The 27,048-nt window shown below is 36.9% G+C and overlaps 2 long non-coding RNA genes across 2 annotated transcripts in view, besides 1 other annotated feature; both read left to right on the top strand.

Moving 5' to 3' along the window:
- The first annotated feature begins 18,906 nt into the window (after window positions 1-18,906).
- LOC101928166 (uncharacterized) overlaps window positions 18,907-27,048 on the top strand; it is a 45,966-nt gene continuing 37,824 nt past the window's right edge. The window contains exon 1 of the long non-coding RNA NR_136178.1: window positions 18,907-18,963. This is a non-coding gene — a long non-coding RNA (uncharacterized LOC101928166). The remainder of the gene's footprint in view (window positions 18,964-27,048) is intronic.
- The window catches only part of LINC02917 (long intergenic non-protein coding RNA 2917), an 89,729-nt gene continuing 81,589 nt past the window's right edge, over window positions 18,909-27,048 (top strand). The window contains exon 1 of the long non-coding RNA NR_186000.1: window positions 18,909-18,963. This is a non-coding gene — a long non-coding RNA (long intergenic non-protein coding RNA 2917). The remainder of the gene's footprint in view (window positions 18,964-27,048) is intronic.
- Window positions 21,062-21,356: a silencer, noted in NCBI's record as "tiled region #12239; K562 Repressive DNase matched - State 5:Enh". NCBI's record gives its function as "represses a minimal TATA promoter and a strong SV40 promoter by Sharpr-MPRA in K562 cells {active_cell/tissue: K562}" and the evidence as "EXISTENCE:reporter gene assay evidence [ECO:0000049][PMID:27701403]".

Here is a 27,048-nt window from a genome sequence, read left to right as displayed (position 1 = left end):
GAAAATTTTCTCTCTTATCTTATAATTAACTAATTATAATAAAAATCTATATAATATCATACTTTCATTCTCACTGAGATTTGAGTTATTCTTATGGCAGCCTGAATCTGCAGATACCACCACTAATAATTGGAACTGTGAGTGAACAGTTCTAATTCTGTCTCCACCTGATTCTCCATCTCAAATACAAAAGCCTCTTGTCTCAAAAGTGGTTTGATATTCCAGTCAAAAATCTAGATCAAAAAATATTTTAGATTCTCTTGAGAATAGGAAAAGCAATAACCTAAGCAAAAACAATCACTTATTCAGGAATGTTTTAATTTTGTATACATATAAGTACAGTGGTAAGACAGGATCTTGTGTGTTAAAAGCAACTGAAGTGAAACCATAAGCACAATAGGAAGTCATGCTTGAAAACCAGGAGACTTCTGCTTCTGGCCCTGGGGGAGTGACAGAGTGTAGAATTAACTTTCACCCATAAACAACTAGAAAACTGAGTAAATATAGAAAATATTTATTTTTAGAAACTGGATTAGTTCAGCCACAGTGGAAAGCAGTTTGGAGAGTCCTCAAAGAACTTAAAACAGAACTACCTTTCCAACCCAGCAATCCCATTACTGGTTATATACCTAAAGGAATATAAATCGTTTTACCATAAAGACATATGCACATGTATGTTCACTGCAGCACATTTTACAATAGCAAAAACATGGAATCAGTCTAGATGGCCATCAATGGTATACTGGATAAAGAAAATGCAGTACAGGCCGGGCGCGGTGGCTCATGCCTGTAATCCCAGCACTTTGGGAGGCGGAGGCGGGCGGATCACGAGGGCAGGAGATCGAGACCATCCTGGCTAGCACTGCGAAACCCCGTCTCTACTAAAAATACCAAAAAAAATTAGCCAGGCGTGGTGGCGGGCGCCTGTGGTCCCAGCTACTCAGGAGGCTGAGGCAGGAGAATGGCGTGAACCCAGGAGGCGGAGCTTGCAGTGAGCCCAGATCGTGCCACTGCACTCCAGCCTGGGCAACAGAGCGAGACTCCATCTCAAAAAAAAAAAAAAAAAAAAAAAAAAGAAAAAGAAAAGAAAAGAAAATGCAGTACAATACACCATGGAATACTATGCAGCCATAAAACAGAATCAAATTATGTCCTTTGCAGCAACATGGATGCAGCTGGATGCCATCAACCTAAGTCAATTAATGCAGGGAAAGGGAACAAAATACCGCACGTTCTCACTTGTAAGTTGGAAACTTATAAGAGGGGACCAACAGACACCGGAGCTTACTTGAGGGTAGAAGGTGGGAGAAGGGTCAGGACTAAAAAACTACTTGTTGGAGACTATGCTTAGTATCTGGGTGATTAAATCATTTGTACACCAAACCCCAGCAACACATAATTCTCCCATGTAACAAACCTGCACATGTACCCCTTGAACCTAAAATAAAAGTTGGAAGGAAAAAACGAAAGACGGACCCTGGACCATAGGCAGTGCAGATAATGGTCTCTGAAAAAAGAAACAAATGAGGAGCATTTTGTTTGAAGGTACTTTTCAAGCTGCAGCAAAGGAATGAGGAAACCAGAATAAGCCTGGGAATCTCATTGAACTGGGGGGACAAATATCCCAATTTGGGAGGCTGCAGCAGTTAGAATTTGTGGGGCAAAGTACCTGAGATAAAGGAACTAAGTGGAGAAAGACTTCCAAAATCTGGCTAGAGATCCTTATAATTCTTTGGCTGAACACCAAATATGCATGAGTACTGTGAAGTCCCATGAGTCAAAACTAGAAATATCTTCCAGGAAGAGAAAAATTATGTAAGATGAACACTTCACAGAACTCGCACAGAACTGGTAGTTTTTTGAATTCCGATTAGCCAGAGTAGAGATGCCTTATTGAATACAAAAAACATCCAGTAAATTTCACAGAAGGGCCCATATCTTAGAAATGGAGCCAAAGTAGCCCAGAGTAAGTTTTATTCTAGACCTTTCCTAAAATAACTTAGAAAGAAGCTTCAAAAGACCAAAGTTCTAAAATGTGGCCAAAGCTTAACAATCTTTAAAGGGATTCAACAAAATCTGGCTCTCAGCAAATTAAAATTCACAATGTTTGGCACTGGGAAAAGTCACTCAATAGAGACAAACAATCCTAGGAATGAATGAGATGATAAAATTGGTGACAAGAACTTTAAAATATCTATTATGAATATGCTCCATATCCTCAAGGATATAAAAGAAAACATAAAAATTATGAGACACAAATAGAAAATGTAAAAGAGAAACAAATGGAACTTCTAGAGATGAAAATTAAATATCTGAAATGAGGAATTCACTGGATAAAATTAACAGTGGTAAGTAATTTATTTCAGAAGAAAAGATCAGTAGATTTAAAGCTATAGCAACAGAAGCTATCTAAAATGAAGCACAGAGAAAATAATAACTAAAAAACAGAAACAAAGCTTCAATACTCTGTGGGATAATATAGGTAACTGGAGACCCAGAATGAAAAAGAGGGAGAACAGAGGACAGAAAGAATAGACAAAATTTCCATATTTGTTGAAAACTGTAAACCTACAGATCCATAAATCTCATAGTTCCTAAGCAGAATAAACAGAAAGAAATCATCTCAGCACGTATCATAAACTAATGGCTGAAAATTACCAAGTTTTGAGAGTTGAGGGAAGGAGACAGAGTTAGGTTTGTGGGTGAGATAAAGCCCAAGATAAGTGAAACATTCCATGCCACTCTCTGAGGATTCATAACCAGCAGGTATAAATTCTCATCACTGACTTTAACTATTGCCATGTTTTTTTGGATCTGACATTAAAAGTGAACAAAAGTACAAAATGAAATGACCGCTATGCTGTCAGACACTGTCACAGTTAAAGGATTTAGAAGTTTTTCAGTAGTAACTCTTTACTGTGCAGACAAATATGTTTGATTGTGTTTATTATAGGAATCTCTGTAGCATTCACTTATTAAATATTTATGGAGCACGTATTTTGTTCCTAGACTGGAGGTAGGTAGATATTTTGTGGTAATATGCAAAATAAATAAGGTAAACATACTACTAGTTAGTTCCCCTAATTTAGAGATTCTAACTTGGTGTGCAAATAAACAGTGAATAGTACTTTACATAGGAAAAAAACACATATAACAACCTCTAAAGCCTCTATTCATAAATGGTTATAGCAGTTATAAAATTATCCTCATACATCAAAACTCCAAGATTTAGCATTTTGACTCAAGCAGGACTCCTTTTTCCTCCATCAAGGATATTGAATATGTAATCTTAGAATCAAAGGGTGCCAGGACTAAAGATGACTATAGAAATCATTTAGTACAGTGGTGTTGAAACATACATGAAAGAGGCCAGACGGCTACCTCAGGTGGACTTGGGCAGTGGTAGTGGTAGTGAGGGCAGATTGACTGAGCAGATGGTCCCCTGGTGTAACCAGAAGACTAGAATACATTGGAGTGGTGGGGGTGGGGGTTTGGGGGAGAGAGGGGCACACTTACCATGGATTCATAAATCCCATATTAACATTTTGCCTAGGCCCTGTAGATATTTGAGTTTGAAAAGCCTGAATTATATTCTCTCCTTCTTTTTATTGTTCCTCCTTTCCTCGCAATATGTAACCACTAAGGAAGGAGGTTCAAGTCACTGGCTGATGTTTTTTCCAGATAGCTCATTCTTCTATGGCACAAAGGGAATCATCATCTTAACTAATTTTTACTTTAACTCGTTAACATCCCATGCTATTTTATATAAATGATTTTTATTTGTATATTTGGATAGATACTATTAATACATATTTGTGAAATTACTTTTATTTCAATAACATTATTTGTGATAGCACACAGTATGGATCAAGGCTTGAAAGGCTGATCCATATCACTTACTTTAGACTTCTCACCTGAGTAAGCTAGCTTATACTACCAGCAATATAGCTTCAAATTCTTGATAATACTTAGAAAAAAATAAAATGTAACCAAAACTAATCTTATTAAATTTGGCAGGAAAGGTGGAGAAATGGCTTCAATGCCTATTTTGCCTGCTGCACTGTCCAATATGATGCTATTTAAATTTAAATTAATTAAAAATTTAAAAGCATTAGCTCCTTAATAGCACTTGCTACATTTCAAGTTCTTAATAGCCATATGTAGCTAGTGGGTATTTTATTAGACAGCTGAGCTATAAAAATGTTCCATTATTACAGATATTCTATTGGACTGCCCTGCACTAAAGAAGTACTGTAAATTGAAGAAAATTGCTTTGTCATCTATAAGCATGTCCCTCTGTCTCTTGTCATGGAAAGGAAAATGTTACTCTGTGAAAAGAAAATCTAGTGCATTTATTTTCTTTCTGACACTTCATTCAATTGTCGTGTCCTTCCGTCTGCCTTCTACTTCTAATAGTTCACCCTTCCTGTTCAATCTACATGTTAAACACAGAGACATCAACCATTACCAGCCATATCCCTCTTTTCTGCTAAATAAAGCAATTCTTGTACTACCACAAACATTGGATGTAAATTGTCATTCTGTCACTAGAAAAGATCAGATTATACACATTTCAAAGAGCAGCTTTTTCTGCCTTTGATGGGTTTCCAGTAAATATCCTTGCCCCCAAATACCTTCCAAGAATCTGGTCACAGTGCCTGACATTCCAGCACGTTCCTGAAAATTTTTAGTTTTTCTCAAGTTCATTACTAAAATGCTTCTGTGTATGAATCTGGCTGCTGTGTATTAATCTGGTTCCCTATGTAGCTATTTGTAATTTAACAAGTCAATGCTCTCAGGCTTACAAAACCTGGAGAAAAAAGGTTTTGGCAACTGGGGAGGACAGAGCACATCAGGGTAGCTTTCATGAAAATGCCAGGTTGCTTCTGAAAATGGAGACTCTTTTGCAATGAAAAGTGAGACCAGGAAACATGAGAATGCTATTTGCTCTAAGACGCAGCACCATGAGATTGAGCAAACCTGGCTTTCATCCCGTATTTTTAATGTTCTGTTTCGTGTCTCTGGACACACATTTACCCCTCTGTATTTGTGCATTTCATATCCATAGATTCAACTCAACTGTGAGTGAAAAATATATAGGAAAAAAATTCCACAAAGTATCAAACAGCAAAACTTAAATTTGTCATGCACTGAACTACGTTGAACCCACGAGAATGAAGTGATGTACAGGTAATGTATTAGGTATCATAAGTAATCAAAGGTTGTTTAAAATATATGGGAATATGTGCATAGGTGGAAACCTGTGCATAGGTTATATCCATACACTACACCATTTTATGTAAAGTAATTCAGCTAGTGTGGATTTTGATATCCGTGGGGGTCCTGGAACCAGTCCCCCCACGGAGACTGAGAGACAACTTTACTACTTAATGTCTCTAAACTTCTGTTTTTTGTCCTTAAAAATGGGCATAAAAATAACTTATCAGGATAATAAAGGATATATACAGAAGGCCTAGCTTTGTACTGATCACACATTGGGAAATGATGAAAGAAAGCATTATAGGGATTTCCTTCAGCCTCTTTGTCACTTTTAATAAACTTTTGGTTTCAAAATCAAAATGATGAACATATTCAGTGTTCTTTTCTCTCTGCTCCAGGCTTTGAGAGTTGGGGATTGATTCCAGATAATTTGAAAGAAAATACAGATGATAGTTTCATGGTGAAATGAGACCATCAAGAATTGGTTTAGCTGGAGCAGAAGACCATTACCCAAAAGTGGTGGAAAGAAGATTAGAAAGTTAGGATAGAGATGTAGAGATGCAGAGATAGTGTGTCCGGAATTGGTGGGTTCTTGGTCTCACTGACTTCAAGAAGGAAGCCGCGGACCCTCGCAGTGAGCGTTACAGCTCTTAAGGCAGTGCATCTGGAGTTGTTTGTTCCTCCCGGTGGGTTCGTGGTCTCACTGGCTCCAGGAGTGAAGCTACAGAACTTCGTGGTGAGTGTTACAGCTCATAAAGGCAGTGTGGACCCAATGAGTGAGCAGCAGCAAGATTTATTGCAAAGAGTGAAAGAACAAAGCTTCCACAGTGTGGAAGGTGACCCCAGCAGGTTGCCACTGCTGGCTCTGGCAGCCTGCTTTTATTCTGTTATCTGGCCCCACCCACATCCTGCTGATTGGTCCATTTTACAGCAAGCCGAGTGGTCTGTTTTGACAGGGTTGATTGGTGCGTTTACAATCCCTGAGCTAGACACAAAGGTTCTCCATCTCCCCACTAGATTAGCTAGATATAGAGTGTCCACGCAAAGGTTCTCCAAGTCACCACCAGAGTAGCTAGATACAGAGTGTCGACAGGTGCATTCACAAACCCTGAGCTAGACACAGGGTGCTGATTGGTATGTTAACAAACCTTGAGCTAGATACAGAGTGCCGACTGGTGTATTTACAATCCCTTAGCTAGACATAAAGGTCCTCCAGGTCCCCACCAGAGTAGCTAGTTACAGAGTGTCAATTGGTGCAGTCACAAACCCTGAGCTAGACACAGGGTGCTGATTGGTGCATTTACAATCCCTTAGCTAGACATAAAGGTTCTGCGAGTCCCCACCAGACTCAGGAGCCCCGCTGGCTTCACCCAGTGGATCACGCACCAGGGCCGCAGGTGGAGCTGCCTGCCAGTACTGCGCTGTGCGTCCGCACTCCTCAGCCCTTGGGTGGTCGATGGGACTGGGTGCTGTGGAGCAGGAGGCGGCGCTGGTCGGGGAGGCTCTGGCTGGCACAGGAGCCCACGGAGTGGGGGAGGCTCAAGCATGGTGGGCTGCAGGTCCCAAGCCCTGCCCCACAGGGAGGCAGCTAAGGCCCAGCGAGACATCGAGCGCAGCGCCGGTGGGTCGGCACTGCTGGGGGACCCAGTATACCCTCCGCAGCCGCTGGCCCAGATGCTAAGCCCCTCATTGCCCGGGGCGGCAGGGCCAGCCAGCTGCTCCGAGTGTGGGGCCCGCCAAGCCCACACCCACCTGGAACTCCAGTTGGCCTGCAAGTGCAGGCGCAGCCCCAGTTCCCGCTGGCGCCTCTCCCTCCACACCTCCCTGGAAGCTGAGGGAGCCAGCTCTGGCCTTGGCCAGCCCAGAAACGGGCTCCCACAGTGAAGCGGTGGGCTGAAGGGCTCCTCAAGTGCCGCCAAAGTGGGAGCCCAGGCAGAGGAGGTGCCGAGAGTGAGCGAGGGCTGCAAGGGCTGCCAGCACGCTGTCACCTCTCAATAGGGTTTCGCCATGCTGGCCAGGCAGGTCTCCAGCTCCTGACCTGAAGTAATCCACCAGCCTTGGCCTCCCAGAGTGCTGGGATTACAGGCATGAGAATTTTACTTTATATGCAATTGTAACAACCTTTCCTGTATGTTTATTGTTTCAGTGTTCTGTGAAGGCTAACTAATGGTTACCAATGAGAAATCTGAAGAAATTAGGTGCCTTGGAAACAGAAATGACTATATAGTACCCAGAAAGGAATCTGAAATTTGAAAAAGAGTATTAAGAAAATTTTGTAATGATACTGTTGTTCCAACAGCAAGGCAGTGTGGAATGCATTTTAGAAGATTTTCAAAGTGAATGAAATGGAAAAACAAGGCATCTAAAGTGATAAACATTCATTATTTTGGAATTTTTACTTACATGGAATATCGCTTTGCTTGGTGATGATTGATAAATAAAGTATGATAGAACCTTTAGACGTAGCTATTTATGTATTCAAAATACTTGCCTTTGATTTTTAGAGCCTTGCAACAAAGCTATTATAAACTTTTCTCTCTAAACTCTGGTTTCAGTATCAGATGAAAGCCTACTCTTTAGAAAAGATTTTAAGAAAAAATACAATCCTGTCTATATTAAGTCATGTAATAGAAAATAGAAATTTAAAATAAAGGGTCTGGACTTAAACCAAGTTATTAATACTTTTATACATTTAAATAGCGGCATGTGATTTACATCCAATGTGTCTCATGCTGGAAAGGTTGAACTAAGCCAAGAGCTAAAGAACTAAAACTCTAAAGAAAAACAAAAACAAAAACAAACAACAACAAAAAAACTCTTTCAGATTAACATTTTCAACCAAATACAGTTAATTTTCAGAGAACTAAAATTTGATTAAAACCAACAAAATTATATGTGTTAAATGTAGAAGTAATAATAGCTATAGTACCATTAAGATTGTAAAATTAAAATCAAGCTGTAATTTAAACTAGAATGCTAATGAATACCTCATTCTTACTCCACCATGGTTCAACCCCTTTTGCACTATTTCAACAGCCTCCTAATAATGAGGTCTCCTTGTCTCTGATCTTTATTTCGTCTAGTTCATCCTGTTCCTTTTATGAAATTAGCCCTTCCAGAGAAGTGTTATCCTATATCATTCCCACACTAAAAAACCTTCAAATTTTTAACTGAGTTAAGGGCAAATCTGTCAGTTTGTACTTCAGATCCTCTACCATAGTGGTTTTTCAAATGAATTATCTGGAAACCTAATAATCTGTAGTTCATTAGAAGTTTTACAAAGTTTTGTTACAAGTACAGTGGATGCTGAGACTGTAATTGCTGTTTATTAACCTGGGCTTCAAATGTCTAGATGTCATTAGGCCAGAACATTGTAGAATAATTGTGCTAGATTTGAACCTATAAAGTAACTGTATTCTAATTATAACTTTGAAATCTTTTACATTAGAGTTCTACATAACATTTTATTTGGAAAGGTGGTTGATCTATTAAGAGTTTGACAAGAGTTGTTCTGCAACGTGCCAACGGTTTTATCACCAAAATTGCCACAAATTATTGTATCCTGTATCTACTATCTTTTTGTTGTTGTTTTTGTTGTTTTAGGGACAGTCTTGCGATATGGCCGAGGCTGGAGTGCCGTGGTGCGATCATAGCTCACTAAAACCTGGAACTCCTGCACTCGAGGGACTCCTGGGAACTCTGAGCAATGCTCTCACCTCAGCCTCCTGAGCGGCTAAGACTACAGGTGACTGCCACCACACTTGTCTAATTTTAGAATATTTTTGTAGAGATAGGATCTTGCTATGTTGCCTAGTTTAGTCTTGAACACCTCGCCTCAAGAAATCCTCCTGCCTTGGCCTCCCAAAGTGTTGAGATATCAGGTATGAGACACCCTGCCTGGACTTGCATCTACTATCATGCTGGTCCCTCCACCCAAAATTTCCTTCTCCTCATTCTGTTCCCCATGTCTCTATGTTAAATCTTTTAAAGGCTATCATAGCCTTTCCTGATCCACCTACCCAACTTTCTCTTAACTTCGTTTCATATATATATATATGGCATCCATTGAGTTTTTCTTTCCTGTGTTTTCTCCATATTCCGTCCTAGGTTAATTTTGCCTGGGGGCAAACATTATGTCTTTTTTTTTTTTTTTTTTTTTGATGGAGTTTTGCTCTTGTGGCCCAGGCTAGAGTGCAGTGGCACGATCTTGGCTCACCACAAGCTCCATCTCCCGGGTTCAAGTGATTCTCCCGCTTCATCTTCCTGAGTAGCTGGGATTACAGGTATGTACCACCACGCCTGGCTAATTTTGTGATTTTAGTAGAGATGAGGTTTCTCCATGTTGGTCAGGCTGGCCTCAAGCTCCCGACCTCAGGTGATCCGCCTGCCTTGGCCTCCCAAAGTGCTGGGATTACAGGCGTGAGCCACTGTGCCTGGCCAAAATTATGTCTTACTTTGCACTTATTTAACTACCAGAATTTTAAAGAAAGGAATTGAGCACCAAGATTTCTGAAAGTGAAAATCAGCATCACCACCACATACATTCTGTAAATTCTATGCTTGAAGAGCCTTACCTTTTATCCAATAATAAAAGATGTTTGCTAATTAGCCAAGTATGGAAAGTACGATAATTTCATAGAACATATATAAAATTATCAATGTTTTACAATGACTTGACAATATGGGAAATATGATTAGTAATAACAAAGATAATGAAAATGACAATTTGTTGAGTGCTTATCATATGCTGTATCTCCCCCTATAATTTCTTACCTCATGCTAACGGTTCTCCAAAATGAACAACATCTCACTTTTACAGAAGAAAAAATTGATACTCCAGAGGTGAAATCATTTGCTCAAGTTTACAAGAGTAAAAATAGGAGAGTCAGGATTCAATCTTGGCTCTGTGTGGCAGAAGAGTTTTTGTTCTTTCCAGTTTATCATGCTGTCACTCAAAATGAAAACAACAGTAGCATGTGTATGAATTCCTCCTGGAGGAAAGTTTGAATGTTACTATTCAATAGATCTGCCTTGAGACTTCTTTGTGTCTGTTACAAAATTCTTGCTTGAGGGTATCTCAAAACAAAACACCCACTTGGGCAGAAAGCTGCCTTCCCCAGTTAGTGAGCAATTTCACTCTTCCTGGCTGAGAAGGTTTCTACCAGGATAGGTGAAAACAAAAAGGAAAGAATTGAAAAATAGAAATGTTATATACTTGGAGATATGAACTGAAAAATTGCGTTACTACTGATAGAAGAATATAGTCAAATAAGAATAAAGAGAAAAAATACACAAAATGTTAGTTAAATATAGATTTGTGAGCAATTCTGGTATTGCTATTTGGGTGGTGATGAAAGCTAAATAATCAAACCAATAGATACAGACTTCCTATAATAGCAGAATAGAGGAGAGATATTGATCAAAATGCTCTTCAAGTCTGTGAGAGTTTCAGATTTCCAGCTCAGATTCTGGCTTGCTTCTCAACTTGAACCAACACCAACAGTGCCAGTTTCCTTGAGAGAACTACTGCCTCTTCACTAATACAACCAGCTAGCCTCAGTTCTATCTGCCAGTCCTGTTTTTGCCTTCTTCTCCTGGTTGGCAGTCTCCCTGCTTTCAGGCCCACTTTAAGCCCTTTGACTCTGGCTAAAAAACAGTTGCCTCATCCTACAGTATTTAGCAATTCAAAACATCCTTAGGCCACTGAGCTAAATTTTCCCTTTGGTAGTTTCTAAGTTTAATGTCTTTCCTAATCTCACTGCCCCCATTTCTTCCTTAATTGTGATCCTATAGAGTTTGAGTTCTTACATTATAAGTAGTAAATAACAGAAGTTGCAACATACTTCAGGCACTTTGAAAGTAGCTCATGTGAAAATCACCTTGAGATAATGCTGAGAATGCTGAGAATACTAGTCTGAAGAGCCCTAATAATAAAAGCCCCAGTAATAGAGATGCCCAGTGGGGTAGTCTTTGGGGAGAGGAGAGCAGTGATACAATTGTTAATCAGCCCCAGTGTTGAGAGTTCAGTTCCAGTTACCCAGAAGCCATTGCCCTAAACTTTCAGCAGTTTGGTCTTTTCGCCTTTCCTCTGTCCCTCAGTGTCTCCCTCCCCACTTTTCATCCTTCATACTGATTTTCCTGACCCGTTGCCTCTCTGATCTTACACTTATTGATCTGAAGAAGGACTTTTCATTTCATGAGAACATTTCCCCTAAGACAAAGTAAGAAGAGCTGTTTAAGACTATAATACTGTTTAGATAATATTTTTCATGTAGGAATAAGACGTTTTGCACATAGGAGAGGATTGTAATCTCCTATGTTAAGCTAACCACTTAACAAAATTTCACTTATATTTAAAAATGAAAAACAATTTATACCTATTAAACCTAGCCATCAGAATGTAAAAATTATGACTAAAACATCTAATTTTCAAACATTAGGTGTTAGACACTTGGCTAAGCATTTTATACGCACTTTTTCATTTAATCTCCAAAATCAGTACACATCAGGGAATAGGTGCTATTATTATTATTTCTATTTACCACATGAGAGAAGTGTTGAAATTTATAGAAACCAAGTAACTTGTCCAAGGCTGCAGAATTGTACTCAGAATTCTCAGGAATTAGAGCCTGCTAACAACAATGTCAAGAACAACAGCTCTTGATTATTTATACTGCTACAGACTTTATGTTATAAAATTAAAGCTACATCTTGATAGTCATTTGGTCAGTAATAGCTCTCCTAAAGCTATTACAGAATAAACTGAATGATAGAAAAAAAAATCTATTGGTCAAATTTCACAGAGAACTAATTTCGGTCAATTATAGAGTTAGTTCCAACAGTAAACTCTATTTGTATTGTATTTCTTAATATTATGATAAAAATTATTTTTTCTCCTTGTAGAGATGTTCTCATGTAGCCTAATAAAAAAGAGAAAAATACGTGGTAAGATGGTCTAAAACACCATATATCGATTTTCTTGTTAATTTGACATCTTTCTCTAGAACTGTTCTTAGAGCTTGAAAAACAAGAATTTCCTTCCGAGAAGAAATAATCTCTGAAACTTTGACAAATCCCTATCTAATGAGAACATCTCCTTAAGAACACACATATACTTTTACATTAAACAGTGTGCTGACCTTTAGACTCAATGTTTAAGTTACAGTGTTACAGTGGATTTATTTATTTAACATGTTTTTATTGAATATCTCTTGTGGGCAAAAAGTTTTATGTAATAAAAAGGCCCTGTGTGATCTCAGTGTCAGATCTTATTTGTCCTCTCTAGACTCACTGTGTTAACAGACTTAGGTGTCAAGAGTAATCTCTGCTCCTGAGGGAGTCTGATTAAGAGTGAGTGATGTATCAGGACCACCTCCCCCACTTCCAGAATGAGGGCAGAGAATTACCTGTGCAGCCTCAGACCAAACTAAACAATGACTTCAACCGATGACACCACAACACACCGACTTCAACTTCCTTCACTGTCAGACAACTCCCACCGTTGTTCTTTACACACTAGACTGAATCCCCCATATATTTATACTAATTGAGTCTAGGTTAGCAACACCTCTTAGGACACTGTGATTTGGGGCATTGAATATTTTAGGGGATCTCATCTACTTTGGATCAGCTCCTACCCTTAAAATCCCAACTGACCCTACCAGTTGGAGATCCCAGAATATCTTGAGCTAAATCCATTTAATTAAAAAACTTATTTGTCAGAACTAAACTGAAACTTAAAGATCAGTTGCTGTGTTATTTTAATCAGATCAACTTCTTCAAATAAAATTTAATGGGGAAGCTCAAATTTTCAAATCCCAATAAACAGAAATGAAGGTGCAGTTGAAACAAGAGTACAGCAATGAAATGAGAAGACCGAAGATTCCTCCCACGTACTTCCCACCCACCATCCATATACCTATTCAAGGTTTTAGAACACAGCCTTTACATCCCTGGTATTCCTAGTTTATACCAACTGATTCTGAATCTTAGGTACCCGTCCAAATTTACCTAACTAGTTGGTCTGGAATCCCAAATTCAAACTCAGTATATTAAAGTTCTCTAGAGAAACAGAACCACGTGAATATGTATGTGGGTGTATGTTTTCTGCAAACATACAGAGAGAGAGAATGAGAGAGAGATTTTAAGGAATTGACTGTGGAGGCTGGGAAGTCTGAAATCTAAGGCAGATCATCAGGCTGAAAATCCAGGAAAGAGCTGATGCTGCAGTTTGAGTCTGAAGGTAGTTTAGAGGCAGAATTCTCTCTTCCTTTGGGAATTTCAGTCTTTTTCTATTGAGGCCTTCAACTGACTAGATGATAACTACCCACGTTATGAACAATTATCTGCTTTATTCAAAGCCTACTAATTTAAATGTTAATCACATCTAAACAGTACCCTCAAAATGACATCTAGGCTAATGTTTGACCAAATATTAGGTTACTGTGGCCTAGTCAAGTTGACACATAAAATTAACCATTACACCATGGGTCCTTAATCTAAAAACTTGTGCTTTTTCTCTTATGAATAAGGATTTATGATCCTATAGAAGAGAAAGACATTATAATATAGGCTGTTCACTGTTTACCTAATATTAATTCTCTCCTTTCCCTTCCTAACAAAATATAAAATTTTTGTATGAAGGTCAAGGAGCCTACCTAAAATACGAAACTTTCTAGTCCTCCCTACCATTATAGTTGGCCAGAGTAATGTAAGTGAAGTCATTGGATACAGTTCTGGGAAAGCTCTTTAAAGGGGCTAGCAGATTCAGCTGCCCTGACCAGGTGTAGGGCCTCTTGACCTTTTCCCTGTCCTTCTTTCTCTTGCCTTGAATTTGGACTGATGACTGAAGATGGTGCAGATATCATGTAATCACAAGTATCTAGGGGATCTGAGGGAGCCAAGTCCTAACATTTTTTGAGCTGATGAGCTGATGAACCAGCAGCAGTTACTATTTCCAGATTCCTTATTACATTAGAAAAGACAAATGTGTTTATTGTTTTTCTAAGCCTGCATTAATGTATGCAAACTAAATCCTACGTTGATACAGATAAGGACACAGATCACTACAATGAACATCTTGAAAACTGAACAGTGATGAAAACCTTGAGACTGTACCTAAGGAAATGAGTCAAAAGGAACAAGTTGATATAAACTAGACATAGTAAGTACATCAAACACTAGCAAAGACTATGAAACAGGTACACCGGAGGACTGAACAGCTGCCATTGAATTCAGCAGAAAGGTAAATGGATCTAAATGGCTATAGGAAAAAAGGAGATGCGCGCTTAAAAGAACTAAACTTCCTAGCCGCAATGTTAGGAGAATCACTGGAATGAATTATAGTGAAAGTTGTGTACCTTCTTTCTCTGAACCTTTCTGAAAAGTGAAAAGACAGGAGAAGGACAAGGACAAGTTAGCTGTCCTCATTTGCAGTGTTCACTCCATATGTCTCCTCCTGACAGATGCTTTGAAAAGCTTTATCTTGACTGGTTTGTCAGTGTAAGCACCTTCTCATCTCAAGGTTTTTTGCACAAAGACTTTAATTGGTTAAGCCAATTTGTAGTTGTAACTACAAATACCCACTTTGCAGCAAGAGCTGAATCACAAATCACTTTTAAACATTATTTTCTAATCATAGAAAATGGATTGGGGAGACAGAGAGGGAAAAAACAGATACGTAATCTGTTTGAAGTGACTTAAATTAACTCTTCCTTTGAGCCAGAGGGCTATCTCTGAGCTTTCCACAGCCACAAACCATTTCCTAAAGATATTCTTCTTATGAGTAGCCAGTTTTATGAATAGAATGGGGAGTTGCACAGTAGCGATAGAGGTATAAGTGGGAGGATTTGTGAATCTAATTCTCTAGACTCTGTTGAGGTGGGGAAGCTTGACTAAATGGTGGATGACCTTTGGCACAAGACAGTCATTTGCTAGGAATGAACACAGACTACCTTTATGGGAAAGAGAATAGAGTATGACAAATTTCAGCCAAGTTCAATGTCAGAGATGAGAGAACAAAGATGGATCTAGCATTAAGTGGTTAGGACAGCAGGAGAATTAAACTAGAGGGCCAGAAACAGGTGTTTAGCAAATACAAGGCTGGAATTGTGGCTGAAATTCCAGACCAAAGGCAATATAGCCTATCTTCCTCCTTCCTGCCCTTCTTTCTCTCCCTTCTTTTCTTTATTTTTTCTGAAGACAGGCACAAACAAGACCTTTCTGAAGTCTTATAACTGATGGTAGCTGAAAACAACCAAGGGTATCAGAAGTACAGTGTTCATTTTACCAGCCAAACTTCTTCCTGTCAGTTATCTCAAAATCCAGCTTACCGCTTGTATTAGTCCACATTCACACTGCTATAAAAAACTACTTGAGACTGGATAATTTATAAAGAAAAAAAGTTTAACTGGTTCACAGTTTCACATGTCTCTGGAGGCCTCAAGAAACTTACAATCATATCAGAAGGCAAAGGGGAAGCAAAGCAGGTCTTACATGGCAGCAGGAGAGAGAGAAAGAGAGAAGTTCCACATTTTTAAACCATCAGATCTTGTGAGAACTCATTCACTATCACGAGAATAGCATGGGGGAGACCATCCCCATGAGCCAATCACCTCCCACCAGGTCCTTCCCTCCACATGTGGGGGTTACTATTGGAGATGAGATTTGGGTGGGGTCACAGAGCCAGACCATATCACTGCTGTAGAAAATGATTTTCATTCACAGTTCACCTTTGAGATGTCTTTTGGGAAGAATAGAAATGTAATTTTTTTTTTTTGAGACTGTCTCCCTCTGTCACCAAGCTGGAGTGCAGTGGCATGATCTCAGCTTACTGCAACCTCCACCCCTCAAGTTCAAGCGATTCTCGTGCCTCAACCTCTGGAGTAGCTGGTATTACAGGCATGTGCCACCACACCCAGCTAATTTTTGTGTTCTCAGTAGAGATGGTGTTTCACCATGTTGGCCAGGATGGTTTCCATCTCCTGACCTCATGATCTGCCCGCCTCGACCTCCTAAAGTGTTGGGATTACAGGCGTGAGCCACTGTGGCCGGCTGAAATATAAGGTATTTTCTCAAGCATATTTATTGCCCTCCATCTGTCATCAGGAATGTTTACTTTATGCAAAAATATGGCATTAGTGTGATTTTGACAGGGAATGGTACTCATTTTAAAGATTTGTTGACACAATAGATAATGAGAATCAAGTATTTTTATAAGTTATCTACAAAGCTATCTAATTTTTTAATAGAAGTAGTATTTTACTAAGTAAATTTATACTTCTAGCACTTGATAAATTAACAAATATATGTTTTAAATTTTCTAGGAAGAGCCTATTTACTGTCTACCAGTAAACAGTATCTAAAGGGACTTTGTTGGAGGGATACAACTATCTATATTTCCTCTTTTTTTCTTCTACCCTTCACTCCCTTTTCCCATTTCCTGTATTTTTGTGGCCTCAATTTCCTTTTGGCCAAATTGCTGATCAGTTAATTGGAATCTAACATTTTTTGACTATCTAATGTACAAACATGGTCTTATTTAATGTTCACAATTAGCACCCCAAACTTAAAAAAAAAACAGTCAGTCACTTGTTCAAAGTGACTTAATTGGTAAGAATGGTAGAGAATTTTTATTTTCACTGAAATAATCAGTCTTAAGAAAGTAAAAACCTATTGGACGACCATAATTCTGTACACTATCTCAAGTTGTTTTCAAAGGATCTGGGTAGGGGAAAGATAGGCAAGAGCTAAAATGAGAGCTGTTTTAGGCACAAACTGATTTAAATAAACTTATTCTGCCAATTTAACAGAGAATACAACATACTTGTGACATTTGCCTGGCATGTTTTAGAAACAACAAAGAAAAAAATAGTGTGTTTGAGCAGATGTAGAATATTGAGCATTCAGGGTGCTATGTAAGGACTAGAGAGGCAGTTTGAGGTTGTATGTTAAAGGACTTTTTAGACCAAGTAGAAGAGGCTAAAATGTGTCCCATTTGTATCAGAGAGCCAATGGAAACTTTTAAGATGCGGAGAGTCATGATCTGATTTGTTGAAAATAGAACTGATTATAGATCATCTGAAACTAATTTGGCATTAGTCAATATTTTGTTGAAGGGAAAATTCATCCTCTTATCCATAGAGTCCTTAAACTGTAGACATCTGTGTCTACTCTGCCCTCCTCCAATCACTGTCTATATCTTTGGTACCAAATCCTATCCAGTTTACTCTACATCATCTCTTGCAATTTTATTTTCCATTCTTTCCCTTATCCATGTCCAGATTCACACATCTTCTATTTGCTCATGCCTGGACTTTTGAAGCACATCATGTATTAGGGGGCCAGACACCAGCTTCTCTCCTTTTACCAATATATTCCTCATAGTGTTGGAATTATGGAATCTCTGCAAAGAATAAAGAAACATGCCAAATACTTCCTCTAGTTTCACCTGATAAGAACCATGCAATGCCTACTATTTGGTGTAATTAATTTTTTATTGTTTTGCTTGTGCAAATAACCTTTAGAACTAGAGAACTCCTGAAGCACAAAGTACTCTGTAATAAATGATAATCACCAAATGTTAGGGTAGAGGCTATCTAAGTGAGCATCTCCCCTGAGCCCCTGGGCTCTGAAAAGTTATCAGACAGATAGCCAGGCCGACCCTTGCCTTCACGCAGGGCAGAAAGGCCGAAGCAGCCTGATGGCAAGTGCCCTTATGGCACTTACCATGTCCAAGATAGAAGTTGTAAAATGGTGGCCAATGGGCTGAATTGGCTTAAAGCTATATATTTTTAAATGGCATCATTTAAATAAATATTTATAATTTGAGAGAATTCACATAAAAATTCACATTTATGCCTTCTGTTGAAAATACAGAAGATCTGTCCAAGCAAGATCAGAAATCAGATGGGCCTATGTAGAGGAGGGGCACAATCTTGAAAAGGTGCCACCTTTTACTGTTTCCACATCATATTTGTGACTTCTATTCCTTAACACTCTGGGCCTGGGGGAAGAGGAGGGAGAGAAGATGGGGAGTACCGAGAGTGCCTGGGATTGAATTTCCTGTCATCCCAATGGGAAGATGTCTCAGAGTTAGAATTACACTTTTAAATCGTGATCGTAAAAGAAAATGAAATTTCTTGAACCCACGAGTGTATAGATTTGTATCAGCTAGGTGTAATGTCAATAATTTATTGGTTGAGTTTTAAAACAACCCCTCAGTTTCTTCCTATTTCTTATTTTCTCATCCTTTTAAGAATAGAGAGCATCAGATATATCCATAGACACAGTGAAGAATGAGCAGGTAATAGATAAGGAAATGGGTGGTCTTCAATATAGAAGTTCCAAGCAGCAAATTAAGTTGGGGAATGTTATGGGTAGAAAACCAAGGAAAGAAAAAAATAAGTTTATAGGCAAATTAGATTAACAGACTATTCCTGTTGTGACGAGAAGTTAATAAGAACTGAGAGCAAGAGCTTTTGCCTCTTCAGATATTTAAAGACAACCAGAAAACATCACAGCCTAGGGCTGGAGAGCATATAAAAGATAAGTTTAGAGAAGTCCTCAAACCGATAAAATAACAACTTACTTCCCCAAATATGCTAAGGGTGTTTGTCTGTGGTTAGTCAAACCATTAAAATGGGGAAGGAGGAGGGGTCAGAATTTTCTCTTCTAGGTTCAGAAGAGCCACATTTTGCCGTTCCGACTCTAAAGCAACTACATTTCTCTACAGAGCACAGAACTGTATGTAAATTCATCCATTGTAAATCTAATCTGCAAACATGTATTAGATCAGTATTTGGAGACAGAGAAGCCAACTGGTTCTTAACATTACATTGTATAGCTTCTATTAACATGTATCTCAGGGACTCATTTGGGTGATATTTGCATTGCCTAGGCTGTGGACAAACCACCAGGTAGCCTGAAAAGGACTTACTCTAGGGAAGAAACAGTGTGAAAAATAGTGTGGGGGTATACTTGTTGAAGTGTGAGTGAGGGAGGATAGTGGAGGAAAGGAGAAAGGAGGCATTGGTAGACTCATTTAAGACAAAAAATGGGCATTTCGGTTTCTTAAAAGCCACTTTTTTTTCAATTTAAAACTGTTTTGGGACTAAAGCCTCAGCCATATAAATTATTCTTACCAGGAAAAAAATTCTCTGAAGGAAAAAAAAAGCTAAACATGTATCTTGGCAAGGGGTTTCATATTTGAATTTAAATTTAAAGATAAATTTGTTTTTAAGAAAGCATAAAAAAGCAATTTCAGAAAAAAATCAGAAAAGCTTAGTTTTCTTTTTATTAAAAAAGAAACACAGAGAAATAAATTGATTTAGTTTCTTGTTATGTTCCCTTGGATATGACATAAATTGAAAATTGTAATTAGAAAAGAAATGAAAAATAATTCAATAAAGCTTTCACAATTATTCCTGAAAGAGCCATAAATGCAGTATATAATGACATAATACAGTAGTCAAGATAGTCATTGTTTAAGGTGAACTGAAATGTGCATTATTACATCAACAAAAAGATCCCACAGCTGACACTAATCTTTAGCGTTCTGCCAAAGTGGCATTTTATCCAAACTTTCTGTATTGACCTCACAATTCCACATACATACCTGTAATTCAAAACTTACTCATTTTTTCAAAACATGTGTAATCTGTATATGCAGATATGTGTACTTCAAAGGGTTAAGCTACCCAAGCCATAGTCAATGAATCACTTTTAAAAAGAGCAATAACTCACTGTAAGAATCACGTAATTTCTTACTGTAGGTGTGCTTTAACTAACTTTCACACACTCATGTTTGCTTTAAAGAATTCAGAATTTATGAAATAAATGACACAGTTTTTAAAAATCTTTTGAAGCCAGCAACTGGAAAAATAAGTGAATTATTTCAAAGATATTATTACTATACTTGAAAATATCATTTCAAAAATCCTAGTTCTTATTAGGGAGTAAAAAATGGACTACTGCATTTCAACCTAAAGCTACGTTTTAAAATGCTCCATATCTTTGTATGCAATATATTTTCTAAATGTAAGTAATTAGCTGTCTGTTCTTGAAATAATTTTTGGTTAAACAAAAGTTTCAACTCCTATAAGGCATAGTTAATAGCATGGTAATTACAACATTTTTATAATAACTTACAATCTTCTGAGATGTTTCACAATTCCTTCAGTTAGGGCTGGCAAATATGATTTCTGTTACTATTCTATTTTAGCTTTTCAGTAAGTGCCAGCAAGAGAAATTATATTCCTTTCCTTTTATGGCTTTCTGTGAGGCCCTGACTTGTAGAGAAGGCATTTGTGAGGTTGCTAACATTAAAGTTAATGTTAAACAGCTTATATTTTAACTAGAGATACTTCGCAGTTGGGATATATGCACATTTTGATTCTTTGCCACAGATGTAGTTGAAAATAGTAAATACTTTCTTCTCATTTATTTATTTTTACTCCTGAAATCAGGTGGCCTCTTAAAAATCTTCAGAAAAGTCAGCTCGTTTGAAAAGGAGACCAGGAAATATTGATTGATATAAAAATGAAAGTTCAAGCAGTCGACACTTTTTGTTTTAAATAATGTAGAAGCTAAAAAATAAAATAAATTCACTTTGCCAAAATGCAAGGCATTTTAGGCTCTTATGAAGAAAAAAGTGAATACTAACATGATACTCAGCAAACTGGTTAAAAAAAAGTGGGAAGGGAAGGTTTTTGTTAGAGGACATGTTAGTTTGCTATTAAAAAATATTACTATTCCAAGAAGTCTGGCTAATGCCAGAGACTCTTCATCAGCAAAATAAGAGAAGCATGCTGAGCCTCAAACATATTTCTACACATTTCTTGAAAAAGTCTGAGCAATCTTTAAAACAGGAGTGAAGAGGAGAAAGCCATACCAGTCCTAGTGGTGTCTGAAGTGTCCTCTGGTGATCTCTACCACACTTTGACCACACCTCCATCCCCAGCTGTGTACACATAACAAAGGTTATCAATAAATAATGTATTCATCTACTGGATTGCAGTGAAAGCCCCGATTACTTTTCTCCTATGTTTGGACTAAAGGTATTGGCTTTCTTCAGATATAACCAAGGAATATGAAATGCATTTAGGGAAAAGATCAAAAAGTACATGGAGGCCTGGCTAGTAAGAAGGAATATTATAATTTGCCTTCATATGATAACACTGTAACTGCTTAAGTACTCCTCAAAAATAACTTTTCATGGTATGTCTTTACTGATCCACTAAGAACTCTTACAGTATTAAATATTTTACACTATCAAAATTCTGGAGAATGCATCCTTTCCTATGTAACCCTCTATTTGATAAGATAAAAGAATTTTGCCATTCATTGTGCCTTACACAAATGGTTTATCTTATCAAAACAAATAGTGCTCTAAAAACAGGATTTTTTTTTAAGTAAGCAAGATCTTTTTTAGATGCATGTTTTGTGCCTACATGTGTTCTATATAATCAGCAGTTATAGTCATAATACTTTATGTAATTATTTAATTTCCAAAGTTTTAGCTGACATATAGCAGTATACCTGAAAAATATTAATAAAGCTTTTTGAGCATATTCTCTTTCATCCTCAAAAACAAGGTACCTAATATAATTTTATTATGCTTTGATTTAGAAACCATATTAATTAACCTGTTAGAACACAGAAATGTAGGATTTTAGGGCTGACATGGACATAAGAATTGTTTAGTTCAACTGTCTTTAAAGATTTTGCAAGAGAGGGTCTCTAGATGAAAAATTTGCTTGGATTCACATAGCAGCTGTGAATAAAGAATTGATAGAGGAATTTGAATATGAACAAAGTAATTAAAATTTAAAATCTGAAATATTCTTTCAATGACTATATAAACCTCTGTCCATCTATCATATGTATTTTGTGTAATGTTAGGAAATGGTATTTCCCTTCTTGGAAAATATTTTTAGTACCATAGGAATATAAAGATACAAAAGTCTTTTTTATTTCTGTTTACTCAACAAATATTTATAGAAAATTATTTCCTTCCTAACAATAACAAAATGGTATATCAATGAACATTTTCATAAGAACAATATACAATATAAACTTGTAAAACTATTCATGAGTCACTTAGTGAATGATAGTGAATTTTTGATATTTTAATTAATTCTTCTGTTGCCAAAGCCACAGCTGTACAAACTCTGTAATTATGAGACTGAATATGCATTGTAATTGTGTCTTTTCTCATTAGTTCTATTTTTCAAGCAATGGCAATTTAAATAGATATTTGTATTGCAGTGCTTTTCCCAGGAGAGATTATAAACAAATAAAGCAGGGATAGCTATATGATGAACTATTATGCAGCCATTAAAAACTATGTTATTAAATTATTTTCTAATGACAAAAGAAAAAGAATATGGTATTATTTCAAGTGAAATAACCCATTTAGAAGCCAATTATGATCACACACACACACACACACACACACACACACACACAGTGAAAGGAAGCCAGTGAAAGGAAGCCTGCAAAAAAAAAATTTTTTTTGAGAATACTAACAATGTGGAGGTTTTTCTGAGTTGCAGAATTTTGGAGGACTTTACAAAAATTCTGCATTTTTAGTATTTCCTACAATGAGCATATTTATTCTTATACACAGGAAAGACTAAAACTAATTTCAAAGAAATATAAACAAAAATATGAAAGTATGAAATATGATAATGCAGGTGCAATTTCAGGCTACTTAAACATTGCATTCAGTAGCATCTTTTCTTTAGAGAATGTTAGGATCTGGGCTAATATGTATTTTATAAGAGAGTATGAGACAAAGGCATTTTTGCTCAGTAAAAGATTAGAAGCATTAGAAGCATTGCAAAGCAGAAGAGACCAATGGAACAGGAAACAAAAGTAAAAGAGTTCAGATAAGGGACTGCTGAGAAAAACAAAAGTGAGTTGCTAACAAGTAGTAAGAGCATTTTCTGAGTGTTTTGGCTTATCATATTAACTTAGACAAAGGTAGAAGGAAATAATATTTCTATAACATCTGTAATATGGCAGCGATTATGCTTGAACATTTTATTTATATCAGTTAAATTTAAGTTGGGTCATATAGGTCTGTTTATTCTCATATTACTTAGATATAATTTACCTCACCCTGGTATGTTACTGAGAAAAGCAGACTGACAAGAAGTAATGAAACCATGATTTAAATTTAGCTTAGTTGGCTGCTAAAACTTATGCTCTTTGCATTTTACTTTCCTTTCTCCGGAGTATTTTGATAAAATAATTAAAAGTACTGTCTGTCTTCCAGGATGATAATGGTTCTGTTATTTGACTATCTGAAAAGAATTTGCTAATTTCTTTTTTCAGATAGAAAAGTAGACTTAGGGAGGGGTTTCATGTAGAAACAGTTCTCTCATGTTCTCAATTTTGCGGCTGAGCAGAAGCCAGTGATATAACAAAAACCAAATGGTCACTGGAGAAAGACAGGCCTCTGTTCAGCTCCCAGATCTCACATTTACTAGATATGTGACATCAGGCAAGCTTCTTAATGTTTCTGAGTTTTAGATTCCTATCTGTAAAATGTACTAACAATACCATCTTATAGAATAATTGTGAAGATAAATGAGAAAAACATTTAAAAGATGCCTAGAAGAAATTACAGCATATCATAGACCTCCAATAAATATTGGCTTTCTTTTCCTTAAGTGCCAGCCCTTGGATACTTTTACAACAAGCTATTAATACTTGTTGTCCAGGACTTTTATCAGTTTCTCCTGAGCTTCCTGCAGCAAGTGGCAGCCTACCTCTTAAATTCCTAGGTGTCTGTAATTATTTTTGAAAAGTCCCTCTTTTTGAGATTTTTCACTGTGGCTTTCTCACTAAATTTTCTAATTTTCTCCATGAGCCTCAGTTTTCCGCTATGAAAATATAGAGACCAAATTCAATAAAGTCATAATCAAGTTTGTACTTGGAGTATATAAAAATTTAGAGAAGGACCCTAAGAAATCTTGAAATTCAAGAAGCAGACAGGATGAATCAGGCTCATATCCTTTAATTTTGCTTAAAACTGCGTTTATTATAATTGTTGTTGGTATTACTATTTTATTTTCAACTTGAATACTTTAGGCAGGGGCATACTTCTCTCTTGTCAAAGTTTCACTACATTCTACTGTGACAGCTTCTCATATTTACATTCCTTACCTGCTCTTAATTTAGTTTAAACTCCTCTTTCAATGGTCTCATCAGGAACACTAGCATCACTTAGATAAACACCAGCATCACTTAGAGACGTATTAGAAATTCTAGGACCTAACCCATACCTAGTGAATCAGAAACTTTGTACATAGGGCCCAACAGTCTTATGTTTTATCATCCAGGAATACTAGCTAATTTTTGAGAAGCTCTATTATAAATAATTACAGTTACATCAATGCCAGCCAGCACTCTGCTTTCTTGACAATAACCCAACCCCCAAAACTCCACAACTCCAGCATTTGTTTACTGCACCATGTGACATGATTGCTTTCTTCAGAGCATTTTCAGCAACCCTGTAATGTCTCCGATTAGCCTGTGTACGGAGAGTTCATTTTTGCAATAATCTTATAAAATCACATGCAAAGCATGTGTTTATGCCTTTCTAGTCTTCTTAATCCATTTGCTGTTTACAATACCCATAAGACTTACAGGGAGGTAAGCAGAGTACTTACCTGAGTGTTCTTTTAAAATATTAACACATTAGTCTTTCCTTCTCTTCTGTCAGGAAGCTGTGACTCATTTTACAGATTAAAAAATAAAAACAAAAACTCAACCAAAACAATCAAAACCAACCAACCAAAACAGAAAACCCCCAAAACCAAGTTCTCAAGGTAACAGAGATTTAAACGGTACATAAATGTTTAAGGTGATATTAAGGGGGATGCCTATATTACACAGGCATATTTGATATCAGCAACTTTTTGGCTTATGGAACAGAGTTTTTGTCTTGTCTTTTTCTAACATCAACATAAACACAAAGTGATGAGCTTCTTCAATTTTTAACATGACTAGTCAATGTGAAATAAAGCAAATATGCTTGTAAAACAATAGGAAATAAAAGAGAGCAAAACTTTCTTTAGATTCACATTTATAAATGTTGCTTTGTTTCACTTGATATTCTCTTCCACAGTTTTTTTTTTTCTAAGTCAAAGAAGCTGTTAACATTACTGATTGAAAGTCCTATTTGCTTCTTCAAGACATGGGAAACTGTGGGCCAGGCAGTCAGAATCTAAATTGTGTTACCTTGTCCAAAGCTTGATGGTGCCCTCACTGATGCTAGCACTAGCTAAAATGTGTTTGTTGACTGCTTACTCATCCTACTCAATGTGAGGAGCCGTTTCAATGAATTTTCTCATTTATTAAGGGTAGATATTTTTCCTAAAGTCAGTCAGACCATATACCTTCTGTGTCTCAATTATTTATGTGGAAGCAAGGGAAAAGTTAGGAACATTTTGCCAAGAGATTTTTTAATATAAGGAACAAAAGTTTAATACAAAAAGAAGTGAATGTGATGCAATTACTATGATAGATAAACAGAATTTCTTTGCAAAATAATATTTATTCTTCATCTCCTAATCAGCTTGCAGCAAAGCCAATTTTTTTTCCACCATGAGATAACAAAAAATATCTAGGAATATTGTTTACATTACCTGTGGCACACATGTTTCTTTTTTCAAATCTCAGGAATAGTGTCTATAATATGCTTGGCATGAGAAAAAAATATTTTTGTATGCCTGCTGCTTTACATAGTTAGGTTCATGCATTGAATATTCTTCTGAATAATTATCAAAGTAGAGGATAGAGCACTAAAAGTTATTTTTGGGGCTTGTCAAATACAATTTACGGGAGGCCGTTGGTTTGAACTGAGCTCCTGTACTAGGCCCAAGAGACCAAACCAAAATGGAATTATTCACGTTAAAGCTCCATACTACCAAGCTGAAACCAAGTTGTTTATCTAACCTTCCAAGCAATCAGGAGAGAGAGAGATAATATTCAAATCCCCAAACAGGCCAGTTTCAGTGGGCATGACAAGGAAGTCCCCTTCACTTTAACCTTTAACTTTGAAGCAACCAATCCATTTTTTTTGTTGTTGTTCTGTTTCTTCTTTCTTCAGCCCTTTTCTGTCTATAAAGCCAAATTTCTCTGCTTGGCTCATCAAAACATCCATTCTATTTTATAAAACAACGTGTTGCCTGATGCTAGAATCACAAGTAAAAGCTAATTAAGATCTTAATTAAATTTGTGGTAATTTTGTCTTGTGACAGGTATATTTTCTTATTATTTTCATCATCACCACTCAGTACAGTTATAGGATGCATGTTGAAATCATAAATGATTGCTAATATACATTAGTTTGATTTATCATTTGTGTAGTTTGTTTGAAAGAAAGTCTCAAAATGGATGAAGGATCTGAAGTAGACTATTATTCATCTTCAGAGATTAAGTAGTAAGAGTTTAAAACTGAGCAGCAACACAAAATAACCCTATTAGGAATGACATCTGAGTCACAAACCCAGCAATAGAAACCCTTGAGTTTTAAAGCATGTGCTGTAATCGTTGAGTTTCAACAATCTTTTTACTATCGTCCAACTTCGCATGCCACATTCAACAGCAATATGCCAAGATGTGAAATGATCAGCCTATCATAGAGTGCACAGAAATAATTTCTTTTCTACATTATTCTAGCATTTTTTTCTCCCTTTAATGGAAGTAGTGGTTGCACTTTTGCCTTATATCAACATTAGAAAGGCAATTTAATAAACCTCTTAGATGCTGATTAAACACACAAAAAAATTTTGTTTCATTTGTTTCTGTTTCATACAT

This window comes from Homo sapiens, chromosome 3, assembly GCF_000001405.40.
Source record: "Homo sapiens chromosome 3, GRCh38.p14 Primary Assembly".
NCBI classification, from domain to species: Eukaryota; Metazoa; Chordata; class Mammalia; order Primates; family Hominidae; genus Homo; species Homo sapiens.
This window is presented reverse-complemented; position numbering and strand designations above follow the sequence as displayed.